Here is a 14,065-nt window from a genome sequence, read left to right as displayed (position 1 = left end):
AGCAACGCCTGTAGCTAGCATTGGTCAAGAGAAAGGGTCCAGTTCTCCACGACAACACCCAACTGCACATTGCACAACCAACGCTTGAAAAGTTGAACAAATTGGGCTATGAAGCTTTGCCTCATCCGCCATATTCACCTGACCTCTTGCCAACCGACTACCACTTTTTCAAGCATCTCGACAACTTTTTGCAGGGAAAATGCTTCCACAACCAGCAGGATGCGGAAAATGCTTTCCAAGAGTTGTTGAATCTAGAAGCACAGATTTTTTTCACTACAGGAATAAACAAACTTATTTCTCATTGGCAAAAATGTGTTGATCTTAATGGTTCCTGTTTTGATTACTAAAGATGTATTTTGTTTGTTTGTTTTTGAGACGGAGTCTCGCTCTTTTCACCCAGGCTGGAGTGAAGTGGTACAGTCTCAGCTCACTGCAACCTCTGCCTCCCGGGTTCAAGCAATTCTCCTGCCTCAGCCTCCCAAGTAGCTGGGAGTACAGGCATGTGCCACCATGCCCAGCTAATTTTTGTATTTTTAGTAGAGACAGGGTTTCGCTATGTTGGCCACGCTGGTCTCAAACTCCTGACCTCAAGTGATCCGCCCGCCTCAGCCTCCCAAAGTGCTAGGATTACATGAGCTACCGCACCCGGCCATAATAAAGATGTTTGAGCCTAGTTATAATGATTGATAATTCACGGTCCAAAATCACAGTTGCTTTTGCACCAACCTACTAAAACAGTGCAGTAGGTTTTTCCCTCAGTAGACTCACACTGTCTTATCATCCTTGATTCTCTAATACTTATGATAGTGCCAAGTACATGGAGGGCACTCAAAGGTGTTCACTGGATAAATGAAGGAGTGAGTGAACACATGAGTGAAGGAATACAGAATCTGTGTTGGGCAACCTGGGCACCAGAGAGCAAACAGAAAGAACAGTTCTGCCAGGGAGCAACCCAGTCTCCCATTTTCCCCACCGATGTTTTTCAAATGACACCATTTGGACCAAACAAAATGAATTAGTACCCATTGGTCAGGTAGAAATTATAATAGCTTTTTAACATTTTTCTTAATTAGAATTGTGAGGTGTAATTAATTTAGGCAAAGGGAAACTTAAAAGGAGGAAAATCATTTGGTCAGAACAGAAATTCTGCCTACTGTCTAAGTGAGCCCCGAACTTGCTCTAGGTCTATCCAGCCTGCGTCATATAGTTCTTCATAGTCAGAGAGTCATCTCCATCTGCCTCTCAGTCTCCACCACAGCTTCTGCAGCATTTGTCCCTGTAACAGTGCATCATCTCATTCATTCATTTGTTCACTTGTTCATTCATTTATTTCCAACATCCAATTTTCAGGGGCTGAGAGAAATAGAAAGATAAATAAAACCTGATATACCCTTAAGAAGTGCACAGATTGGCCAGGCATGGTAACTCACACCTGTACTCCCAGCACTTTAGGAGGCTGAGGCGAGAGGATCACTTGAGCCCAGGAATTCAAGACCAGCCTAGGCAACACAGGGAGACCCCATCTCTACAAAAATTTTAAAAATTAGCTGGGCATAGTGGTGTGTGCCTGTGGTCCCAGCTCCTCAGGAGGCTGAGGTGGGAGGATCGTTTCAGCCTGGGAGGTCAGGACTGCAGTGAGCTGTGATCATGTCACTGCACTGTAGCATGGGCCACAGAGCAAGACCCTGTCTAAAAAAAAAAAAAAAGAAGAGCACAGATTGCAATGGACATGCAAATTGTTGTAATACAGTATGAGAAATCTTGTACGAGAGGGTAGACCAGAGTGTTCTTTAGTGAGAACACAGAAGCAGCAGCCATTTACCATGGCTGAGTTAGAGAAGGCCTCACCCTCCAAAATTCCAGATGCCTGAGGTACCCCACAGGAATCTGAATTTATAATAAACACTGGCTGCTTATGGTTCGATATCACAATTTGAGAATCACAGCCTATAAATGACTGTAAGGTCAATCTGCATATCATTCCTTTTGCTAATCGAATATGCTTTTGAGGGAACATGGTACATTGGATAATACACTTCATGAGAAGTAAGACCAGGTTTCTAGTCCTGTTTCTATCACTTTCTACTCATGTGACTTTGGGCAAGACATTTAACCTCGAAAAATCTCAATTTTCTCACCTATAATAATGGAGATACTATTACCTTGTACATCCCAGCTATCTTAGAGTCACAGATGATTTAAATGACAAAATGTATAACTGTCTTAGCAAAGTAGCAACCAAGAAGTGCTAATAATTTAACTAGTGTCCAGGCAAAGGCAAAATGTTTACAACTGCCACACTTGAGCAAGTAGAATGGCACAAAATCAAATTAAAAGTGTTTGTTGGGTGATGATTCTCAGATTCTCATTCTCACATTTCATACAATAGCAGCAGAATAAAAAGGGCAGTGAATAAAAGAGGGAAGGGACATGACGCTCAGTGGCCTGTGTCTTACAGAAAGGACACAGAGATCACCTTTACACCCATGTGCTCTTCTGCTCTCAGGGGTGGACAACACCACGGCCGATGTGTTCCAGCTCAGTGTGTCTGACTTCTTAGCCTTGGCTTTTTAAATGGGTTCTGAAAAGTGTTTAAGCAGGGAATGGCTCCACCACAATTAAAGGCATTAAATACCCAAGACGAACGGTAATAGCTGAAATCAAGTACCTGCAGCAGCTTTTTCCACATAATGAAGCTCATTATAAAACAGGGACACTTGGTGATATTTTTCTTTCACCACATTGGATATATAGTGCAACAGTGTTTGCTTTCTGTCTGTTGACTTTGTATCTAAGAGCTGAAAACAAAAGGGAACGTGGGTTAGGTACAAGAGTAAAGGGTAACAAGACACTTACCCCTCAGGTGACGATTTCCCACCCAGAGTCATTAACTGAGTAACAGTCGCCCAACAGGCTGGAGCATTCCCAGAGGAGGGTCAGGATTCCATTTGTTCCTTAGTGAACCAGTCCATTGATGCTTAACTGGCTCAAGGACTTTCCAACCAGGGCACATGCTTAACTATAGGGATGACTCTAAGCACCTAAGAATGATTCGCAGCTTTCCTCTACAGTAGTTCCTATTTACCCACAGGTTTACTTCCCATGGTTTCAGGAAACCCACAGGTTTCAGGTATCCAAAAATACTAAGTGGAAAATTCCAGAAATAAACAATTCATCAGATTTGAATTGCGCACCACTCTGAGCAGCATGATAAAACCTCGCACGTGCCATTCCCATCCACCCTAGACCGAGAATCACCCCTTTGTCAAGTGGATCCACGCTGTAATCATTACCTGCCATTAATCACTTAGTAGCCATCTGGGTTATCAGGTTAACTGCCGCCTATTGCAGTGTTTGTGTTCAAGTAACGTGTTTTATTTAACTGCTCTATTTTTTTTTTTTTTTTTTTTTTTGAGATGGAGTCTCGTTCTGTCGCCCAGGGTGGAGTGCAGTGGCACAATCTTGGCTCACTACAAACTCCACCTCCTGCGTTCAAGCGATTCTCCTGCCTCAGCCTCCCGAGTAGCTGGGATTACAGGTGCCTGTGACCCAAAAATTAGCCCAGCTAATTTTCCTATTTTTAGTAGAGACAGGGTTTCGCCATGTTGGCCAGGCTGCTCTCAAACTCCTGACCTCAGGTGATCCTCCCGCCTCAGCCTCCCAAAGTGCTGGGATTACAGGTGTGAGCCACCAGGCCTGGCCTATTTTATTTTTTAGTTATTGTGAATCTCTCACTGTGCCTAATTTATAAATTCAACTTTATAACAGATATGCATCTCTAGAAAAAAAACAGTGTATATATAGGATTCAGTACTATCTGAGGTTTCAGGCATCCACTGGGGGTCTTGGATCACAGCCCCCATGGATAAGGGGGACACTGATTACATGAACTCTCCCAGCCCTGCATCTGCTATCCCACCTTCCTTGCCTTAAAAGCAGGACGGCTCTAATTTTAGTGCTCTTCAAAGTAAAAAGCCAGAGGAGAAATGGGGATGTACAGCCAGCAGGTGCATGCAGGTGCCTCCTACACAGCAGGGCTCCTATGCTCCAGTTTTTACATTTAGCTTAGGCCCTCCCTTATTTCCTAGCCTGTGAAGACCTGAAACAGACATGCTTAACTGATCATGATCTGCTGGAGGCCAGAACTGTGACTGACTAGACACTCCATATTAAATAACTAGCTCCCTGGTCGGGGGACTCAACCCACTGCCCAGCCTTCTCATGTGACAATCACGTTAGGCCTGCACAGTCTGGAGGGAGTCCACGGAGGATTTTCTCTAGTCTTATTCACATTAGTTAGGTGACTCTGAAAATTAGAGCACCCTGCATGCAACAACAACAACAAAAATTTAAGAAAATATAGAAAAGTACTTACAAAAAGCAGTTTGAAAAAATTTCCTGATTCCATCCAACCTCTGCTAATATTTTAACCTATTTCCATTCAGTCTTTCTCCCCACATAGTTTACTTAGCTGAGATTCAACTGTACATGCAAAGCATACCCTGCTTTCTTTTCTAAACACAAATCTTTCTTGGGACACTCTTCATCAGTATGCTAACGGTGGAAGAATAATAGTTCACTGTATTAACTAGTGTTACAGCACATTTAATCATTCCCACAGTTAGACCTTTAGATTGTTAATTTGCAATTATAAATAAAATACAGGATTCAAAATTCAGACACTTGAGAAAAAATTCCTAGAAATGGAAATACTGAGTCAAAGGGTATGAGTAATTATAGGTTCTATGTGCTCTCTGTCAAATGGTGTTCCAGAAAATTAGTACCAGTTGATCCTCCCATAGCAGAAAATATTCATCAAAACATCCTCCACCACCCTAACTTCATCTCTGCCAGCCATCTGTCCTTCAAACAGCTCTCAAATTTCTTTTAGTCCACTCACCAGATCTAAACTCTGAAGTTTAAATCCATAAACTGCTCCTCTTTTACTGCTATTCATGTAGTTTCCAAGGGCTAAGATGATCTGCAAAAGAAGGTGAAAACAGAAGCCCATCAGTACAGCACATCAGGCACTGAACGCAGCTGAAGTAGTCCTTCATACCTACAAGAAAAACTGCACTTGCCTCCAGAATTTTCTTGAGTTTTTGGGACGACTTTATAGAGACAGATGCTGCTATAATCGCATGTAGTTGCTAGATTCCAATCAAAGAAAGAAAAAGGGGAAAAAAGACATGTTAAAAATGGGAAACTAATTGGCAAGTAAATATTAAGACAGAAGAAAACAGGCCTGCATTTAGAGCATACAGGCTTCATGGTGAGAGTCTACTTTTTCTAAGTATAACAAATTTAATTGTCTTGCTAGGTCTCAGGTAATATTGTTACATGCACGATCTTTACTGAAACTGTTCACAATAGCAAGTAACATAGGAACTTGCTTATCACAAAATCTGTAACCAATCTACAACCACTAAGACTCAGAGTTAAGAGTCCACAGCTGCTTCTGGTAGAACTCAATTTCCTGCCTACCACCTCTAATCATGTCATACAATTAATATTTTTAAATCAATGAAGGAGGCATCAAAAATGAAAAAAAAGGGAGGGGAATATAACACCCTCCAGAAGTTCTCAGAACATGTTTTCAACAGACATACTACTATAAGCAGAAACCAACAAATTTATCTAGAAACAGAATTGGGAAAGAACTGACTACTATAATCAGTAACAAAGTCTATTTAGAAACAGAATTGGGAGAGAACTGAAGTTTATGATATTCATAAATCTCCACCAGATTAACACAAGGGAATGAGAGATGGTTGGCTATTATGTCTATATCACCACAGTTTATTATAACAAACTTCCAAGAAAGAAAACTCTTATGGTAAATATAAAGCTTTCAGCAAAAGCTTGTAAGTCTGCTCACTAAAGATGAGGCAACATTTTTAGAAATGAAAGTCTTATTTTCAGTCTTGCCAACACTGCCAGAAGACTAGTATCTTCAGAGAGGAACCAAGTTTGAGAAAAGAACCAAGTTTCTTTGTCCCCTGTCCTTTTGAAATCTAGAGAACATCTGTAGACACAAAAAATGGCATTCTTTCGGAAGAATGGCAATATGGAATATGAACATTCCCCATTTTTCAAATTTACTTTGCATACATAATGTGGAAAAGATGGTTGAAATAAAAATGCAATTTAGAAAGTTCTGGGAAGGAGTCTTTAGAACCCATCACACTGAGTACGATTCTGGGAGAGACTTTAAAAAATAACGATTCCACATTTCTTTGGACCCCCTCCCCTGCCAGAGTCAGTCCACTCACAGGAGTCAGCATCTGAATGCTTTCAGCAAAGTTCCCAATGAAGGCCATGATGGTCATCTTCTGCATGAGCCTCTCGATTTTACTAAACTGCATCATGAACCGATCTTCATCTGACAAGTTTTCCAGAGGCTTCCTTTCCCGCTCGTAGAGCCGAAGCACTTTCACTTCATTCTCAGTTGGTAGGAACCGCATCAAGCATTCCACAAAGTCCACAGGCAGTGTCTTCAAGTCAAATCTAAAGACAGATGTGGAGAGATTAGCATTAGAGAGAAAAACCTCCTACCCCCTTTTCAAGTTCATCCATCTTTTCAGGTTCATCCATCCATCATCCATCTGGTACAGCTCATCAAACACCAAATCAACGAGTCTAAGATTTCTCCAGCTGTCCTGTGAAGTCCCACCCTGGTGCTGGTTCTTGACTATGCCTCAGGTAACTTAACTGGTTCTTCCTGAAAACGTGGACCTTGTCACAACTGCCATCCTCAGTTTTTAGGGTACTGGCATAGCTCTAAGCCTCTGGAATCAGGAGTAAATGAAAATAGGAAGAGGTAGAACCAAGGCCAAAGCATCTGATGGTTTCATGGTTCAAGCACATAGTTGACAGGCATTGTGAAGTACAGCTAATTCAGGAGATTAACACTGTACACATTAGTACAGAATATCTGGTGAATTATGTAAAATATTTCAATTAAACCAATAGTCTGGTAGTATTTTTTCTTCTTTGGAAAAAAATGCATCCAAATGCCTGTATTATTGAATGTTTTAGGTTAAGTGCATACATTCCTTGAAGTTCTTTTTGGATATATGCTTAATTTGAACAAATGAAGTATTTGTTACAGTCTCTATTCTCTATTATTCTCTGGACAATCTTTGTTCAGCTAAATAATAGAATTACATTTAATCATCATGACAAACAAGATATATAAAGATTTAAAGCCAGGCTGCACTTCAGGATTCAATGACAGAAATCAGAACAGACTGTAGGAGGCACTGGACTACCAGATTATGACCCTGGTTGAGGACACAAAATTGGAACAAAGGATTTCTTAGGGTCATTTACACCTCGAAGCCTCTAACCAAAATGTATAAGATAATCAATTTATAAATAATTAGTTCCTAAAACATTTAATAATGTCTTCATCACATTTGAAAGTCACCATGGCCACAAGAAGAATAGAAGGATTCTTCTAATAGAGGAGTAAAACCAATGCCTTCTATGCAGTTCAAGAGTAAAAAATGAACTTTGTTTAAAATGTCCTGAAAGTACTGAAAGCAAAACAATTCACATTCCTGTTGTTACGAATTAAAATATGCATCTGTATCATATTTGCATCTGGCATTGAACTGTATCATTCCACAAATGCCATCAAATTTGTATTCAACAAATCTGGATAAAATCCAGATACTCCAGAGAAAACTGACATTTTCTACCTTTTCTTAACATCTGCCACGCTCAGCTCAACTTTCCTTTTATGTAAGCATTGCTGGAGGCCCGCATAAGAGAGTAGACCCAGATAATAAATGATGTCACAATCCAGATGTTATTCTTCTAAAACAATTAGTTACTGGTTCTAATACAACACTCCCCAGGGTGATTTCTGGTCTACCTCTTTCGTGTTGGCATCATATTCAACTTTGAAGTAGCACACACAGAGTTCAGATCTCTCAAGTGTGGATATCAAAAATTGCTCCAGCTTTTATCTTAGGTCTTGTCTCACTATTGAAATATTTGTCATCTACTAATTCATAACTTTCTCATTTTCATTTTATCATAAACTAACTAGAATATAATTTTCCTGAACTTACACATGAATAGCTTTACATATTTCATCAGCAGTCTTTCCAGCTTTCCTTAAAGTTATGGCAAGATTTTTGGCCCTGTTTGCTTCTAGTAATGTCACTTTGTTTGATCCCTTCTGTGGTATCTTCTGTTTGCTTGAAGAAAGATCAATGGCAGGTCCTTGGGCTTTTGTCTTGAATATTTCCTCAAATTCATCCACATTTAAATCCTAAGATAGAGAGGAATGACCATGGAAAATTGGATTATATTTAAAAATGAAGTCCGGAAGCCACCAGTTAGTTTCTTAAGCAAAAACGTCACTTTTTCTATTAAGTACTTGTCTTTGGCCATGGCTTCCTCTATTTTTCTTGTTTTTGTTATAGTACAACTTCTGGCACATACACAAAAGTGAACATAGGTCGGATGTGGTGGCTTATGCCTGTAATCCCAGCACTTTGGGAGGCCAAGGCGGGTGGATCACTTAAGGTCAGGAGTTTGAGACCAGCCTGGCCAACATGATGAAATGCGCTCTCTACTAAAAACACAAAGAATAGCCAGACATGGTAGTGTGTGCCTGTAATCTCAGCTACTTGGGAGGCTAAGCCAGAGAATTGCTTGAACCTAGGAGGAAGAGGTTGCAGTGAGCCGAGGTTGCGCCACTGCATTCCAGCCTGGGCGACAGAGTGAGACTCCGTCTCAAAAAATAATAATAATAATAATTTAAAAATAAAATAAAATAAAAAAATAAGTGAACATTAGACTACCGATTCTAACCCACTAATTCAATTACTTTTCAATAATTAGCTTGCACAGACAGCTGCCACAGATTAAAATTATCCATCAGATAAGGCAGTGAGTGTGATAATTGAGCTCACTTGCAGTCCAAAAGTTTTTATGTCTTTCTCTCAATTAAGGGAAGGAATTATTATGTCAGATCTATATTCTGTGGCATACACTAAAGATGCTCAAAAGCATTTATTCCAATTTAACATAACTCTTTGAACAGTTTTAGAGCCACCTTACAAAACAGTGTCAAATGTTATTCTCCAATATTACATACATGTTTCTTCTTTACATCAGGGGACTTAAAACACTAGTACTTTATCTCTGACACTTCCAGGTTAACAGAACACCCATGCCGGCTTTGCTGCACAGAGTGCACCTCTAGTTTCTAACCAATGAGAAAAATACCTCCAGAATTCGCTCATCATCAATTTCATTGAAGACTGTGCCATTGATCTGATTGGGCTTCAGAGCAACCCAGTTAAACACTGGCATTCTGAACTTCGTCTTGATTGGCTTCTTAATTTTCACAGCTAAAGACATCAAAGAGAATGGAATTAAGATCCCACCAAAAGCCTACGACCCTCAGGAACAATCAGACAACAGTCCTTGCAGATGACACTTTGACACTGGAGGAAGGTTGGCAAGAGGCGCGCAAGTAGGTTTTTAAAGCTGGAAAACAACACACATGGCCTTGGCCAGAGCCATTTGAGGTCATCATTTGGTTGACTAACACATCATTGTATTAAAAGACGTCTTAAGGGCCAAGGGTTGATTTTTTTTTTTCTTTTAACTCAGGCAACTAATTTGCTGCATTACAGTTACAATATTAGGACAATGGTTGGGACAAATAAAAAGTGTTGGAGAGCAAAGATTATTACTCATGTTACTAGATAGCAGAGAGGGCAAAAACTTGCCATATTTGGACATCCTAAATTCTTGGTTGCAGACCACATGTTTACAAACAAACCTTAGAAGATGATCAGGGACTGCAGACAGTGGCTGACTAGACTACCAGAAGTACAACGTCATGAAGGCTGACTTCCTGTGGGTGATTCCGATAATGAAGATATATTGGCTGCTGGGTTATTTCAAGCAGACTAAGGGATATGAATGGCCTAAATGAGAAAATAGGTTTTGAGGTCTTGCTCTGTCACCCGGGCTGCAGTGCAGTGCCGCAATCATGGCTCGCTGCAGCCTTGACCTCCCAGGCTCGGGCAATCCTCCCACCTCAGCCTCCAAGTAGCTGGAACCACAGCTGTGTGCCACCATGCCTGGCTAATTTTTATATTTATTGTAGAGACAGAGTTTCACATGTTGCCCAGGCTGGTCTCAAACTCCTGAACTCAAGCGAGCTTCCCCACTCGGCCTCCCAGAGTGCTGGGATTACAGGCGTGAGCCATCTTGCCCAGCCTAAGAAAATGTTTAAGACAACAGAGTGAAAAAAGGGGTACATACAGACCAAGACTCTGTCTTAAAAATAAATAAATAAAAGGGGCGGGGGGGAAGGAAAAGAAATTGCTGGGCGTGGTGGCTCAAAGTCCTAGCACTTTGGGAGGCCAAGGCAGGTGGATCACCTGAGGTCAGAAGTTCAAGACCAGCCTGGCCAACATGGTGAAACCCTGTCTCTACTAAAAATACACAAATTAGCCAGTTGTGGTGGTGTGCACCTATAATCCTAGCTACTCGGAAGGCTGAGGCAGGAGAATCGCTTGAACCCGGGAGGCAGAGGTTGCAGTGCACCGAGATCACGCCATAGCACTCTAGCCTGGGTAACAAGAGCGAAACTCCATCTCAAAAAAGAGGAAGGAAGGGAGGAAGGGAGGAAACTCCTCTTTTTTGAGATGGGAAGGAAGGGAAGGGAAGGGAGGGGAGGGGAGGCGAAGGGAATTGAGTGGAGGGGAGGGGAGGGGAGGGGAGGGGAGGGAAGGGAAGGAATTGTATGGATTCTCAGACTCAGAAATAGCCACAGTCCCTTGCCCTTCATTTTGAAAAGCAAGTTCTTCCCAGGAGTCAGCTGTGTTTGACTAGGAGGTATCTACACACTCATTAAAAATACTGAAAACCTCTTAATAGAGAGAATGGGATGTATCTTTAAGGGACTATGGGGAGTGCCAACTCCTCTCACTGTGCGGGAATATGCCAAAAAAGGTAATCCATTTAAAATTATATTTATCTATTATATATCATAAAGAAGTCTTCCCAAACCATTTAGCCATACACATTCAGCTTCGTCAGTCTGTTCTGGGTAGCCTACCACACTACTTGGGAGCTTCACTATTTGTCATTATTAGCAAGACAGGGAGGAGAACTTCAGCGCTTCAGTGCAGAACAAAATAAAAGCAACACACGACTAAGCTTGTAGCTGGCTGCCTGCCTGCCTGCCTCAGTTGGCGTTAACTGAGACAGACAGTGCCTCTCATTCCTCCAGAGTTACAAAGGCCATTTAAACAGCAGGAATGTCATCTGATAAATCCACACAAAAGCATGCAGAAAAACAGACACAGCTTTAGCCAAACCAGGCCTCTCCACCACCAAACATGACACCTTTGTCCCCACTACGCCACAGTGTCAGATTCCTCACCGTACAGCATTTTGTCTACGCTACCCAGGAAAACAGATGTTCTCGATGGGACAAAGGAACAGACTTTCCTCTAGCACTTGCCCTAGCATTGCCTCTGGCACTTCGGCAATGTTAGGGATCTGGGGAGCAGCAGAAGGGCCGCAGAGGAGTCTTTTCATAACCTGAGGTGACAGGTTGGTGCCAATGGCGTCCTACCTTCCTCCCACAGACATGGTAGGCTCATGACGCTCGCTAGAAGTTTGCCATTTGCAACCACCCTTCTAACTATTTAGCAAGGTCAGGAATAAGCCTGAGATCAGAACACAGGCAAGAAAGTTCTCCTCCTTGGAAAGGTTTTCCTGGCTTTAACCAGGGTGGGAGTGGGAAGAGGAGGAAAGCACATAGGTGACCACTGGACACACTGTGTCCCCATGGCTCGGGCTAAAGGCGGGTGAGTGCTCCCTGGAGTGGGCCAGAGACCAGCATGAGGGAGGGAATGGAAAAGGGGCACCTGGCACCTTTTTTTTGTTCTTAGAGTTGAAGTCTCAGATACAAATATAAAAATTAAAAGAAGAAGAAGAAAAAAAAAAAAAAACCTTTTCTCAGAGGAAATGGAAGAGGGCATATGAATCCAGGATGTCTGCTTCAAGGACAATAGTCTCTTATGTAGGTTCAACTAGAATGTGTGGGCAAACCTGGAATCATCATCAGCCACCACCAAGACTTCCCGCAGACACAAAGTCAAAATGCAATGGATCAAAGCAAAATGGAGTGGAAAGATGTCAAGGCACAGTGTGACCAACAGAAACACATGGCAAATACTCAACACACTCAGTGAGGAGCAACCTACAGAAAAGCTTGATTGGCCCATCTTTTGTGGAAGCAGAAAGAACAGAGAAAATACAAAAAAAATTAGATATGGTTAGAGTCAAGTGGCTCAGCAGTTCACGCACTCAGCATAGAATTTCATGCTTCTTGGACACATTTCACAAGGCGGCACAGAGCCAAAAATTCATTTCCATTCAGGCCTGCCTCCAAGACTCAACTATTTCATTTTTAAAATTATCCTTTTTAGAAGAGGGAAGAAAAAAATTATTTCATCGTAGTGGTACCAAACAGCAATACTGAACTGTGCTAGGCATTCCATAGGATAGGAATAATTTTTACATGAAAAACAATCAACCAAAGTCCAAATTCGCATTGTGAGGATCCGAGCACATCCTCCCAGACAGACGGCAAAGGTTCCACCTGCTCAGCAGCCTGTCTCAGGTGACCTACCGGGGGAAAGGGAGCCAGGTTGTTCTATCACAGACTTGAGAGGAAGGAAGCCTTCTTCTTCAAATGCATATTTCACACTACTACTATTTTCTCTATAAAATACAAAGAAAACTCTCAACTAGATAAACTATGGGGCTCTCCTCTTGGTCTTCTGTCTTGGTCTCCAAGAACACACCTGCCCATTGAAGAGATAAGACCCTCGTGTTGCCTGTGGGTCCAGAGGCCAAGTGATGTCATAGGTTTCTGACTTCCCAGGAGGCTTCAGAATATTAGCTCAGCTCTGTCTCTTCATTCTACTGGGCATCCTGATTCTGTCTGGCCTCTTGGTTCCAGAGTGAGAGAGAGAGTTACTCAACACACTAGCAAAACATCTCACCAAATGGGCTTCAATCACTAAGAATTAACAGTCTAAATAAGGATGAATAATAAAGAAAGATTAAAGGCCTTGGAGAAATTGCCTGATCTCGAGCTATCAAAGACTCACAAGGATCTTATAATGCTTCCAAGACATCCCTCACAATCATTTAGTGGACACTTATGGAAATAAAGAGTTCCTGTATTCCCACCTACAGTCCTCTAAATTGCATGAGCCACAACAGGGACCACTTCCAAGTATAGCAAACCCTAAAAGCAGTTGGTTATCAGCCAAGCACAGAGCTCTACACCTTAAAATATTGAGGCAATTGACAGAGCCAACACATTTTTAAAATCAAGTAGTGGGAAGAACCCAAGCAAAACAATTAATAAATAGATCAATCACACAGGACATGGCCCCTTGGAAGGAAGCTCTAGACACATCTCAGCCTCTGGGCTCTCACTCGGCTAAGGCGGTTCTGAGGTCTATGTTAGTGCTCAGGTGCGTGGAAGTGGGTGCTAAATCACACATCAGCGTTTGTCAGAGACAAAGGAAGCAGCCCCAAATGAGATACCACAGCAGACACATCTCACAGCAAGTGCGCCTTGGGGGCTACCAAGAGTGCCTAATCAGGGTGGCCAGGTGCACGGGACGATAATGGGTTTCCACACCCAGTTACTGACAACAGCCTGGTGATGGAACACATTCCCGGGGCTTGATATGAGGTTTCTTGTTTGTCTGTTTATATTCCATAGTCCATCAGTTCCACGATGACTCTGCTCCAACTTTTCTCCTTCAGAAGTAATAAAAGTTCTAGAAGAAAGTGGTAGACGGGGAAGATCTTGAAGGGTAGAAATAAGTCACCGATTTACTGTGGACCTTACTGTGAACTGGAATCTTGTTTCCCTGACAGTTTTATATAGAAGTCGGGGTGGAAGTAAAACCATGGATTTGATGTGGAGTGAATTTATTCTAGGTGACTCTGGGGCATCCAAAAGGGCTCCAGTCATTGGGATGAATGAGCCCCAGTGACC

General features: G+C 42.0%; 1 protein-coding gene across 14 annotated transcripts in view; it reads right to left on the bottom strand.

Annotated features, from left to right (window-relative positions):
• Positions 1-14,065, bottom strand: part of FMNL2 (formin like 2) — a 314,653-nt gene that overhangs the window by 15,021 nt on the left and 285,567 nt on the right. For 5 of the 14 annotated variants that reach the window (XM_011510531.2, XM_011510533.4, XM_011510530.2 and 2 more), the window contains 7 exons: positions 12,249-12,269; positions 9,244-9,368; positions 8,079-8,281; positions 6,273-6,507; positions 5,082-5,150; positions 4,901-4,981; positions 2,669-2,798 (listed from right to left, as the gene is read on the bottom strand). In XM_011510531.2, the coding sequence (XP_011508833.1) occupies positions 2,669-2,798; positions 4,901-4,981; positions 5,082-5,150; positions 6,273-6,507; positions 8,079-8,281; positions 9,244-9,368; positions 12,249-12,269 (864 nt within the window). Of the gene's footprint in view, positions 1-2,668; positions 2,799-4,900; positions 4,982-5,081; positions 5,151-6,272; positions 6,508-8,078; positions 8,282-9,243; positions 9,369-12,248; positions 12,270-13,714; positions 13,845-14,065 lie in introns of those variants that run through there. The other 9 variants (XM_005246263.3, XM_005246265.4, NM_052905.4 and 6 more) reach the window with 4 other exon arrangements.

This window comes from Homo sapiens, chromosome 2 (genome assembly GCF_000001405.40).
Source record: "Homo sapiens chromosome 2, GRCh38.p14 Primary Assembly".
Taxonomy (NCBI): Eukaryota; Metazoa; Chordata; class Mammalia; order Primates; family Hominidae; genus Homo; species Homo sapiens.
The sequence above is the reverse complement of the archived record's forward strand: the minus strand, read 5'-3'. Positions and strand labels throughout refer to the sequence as shown.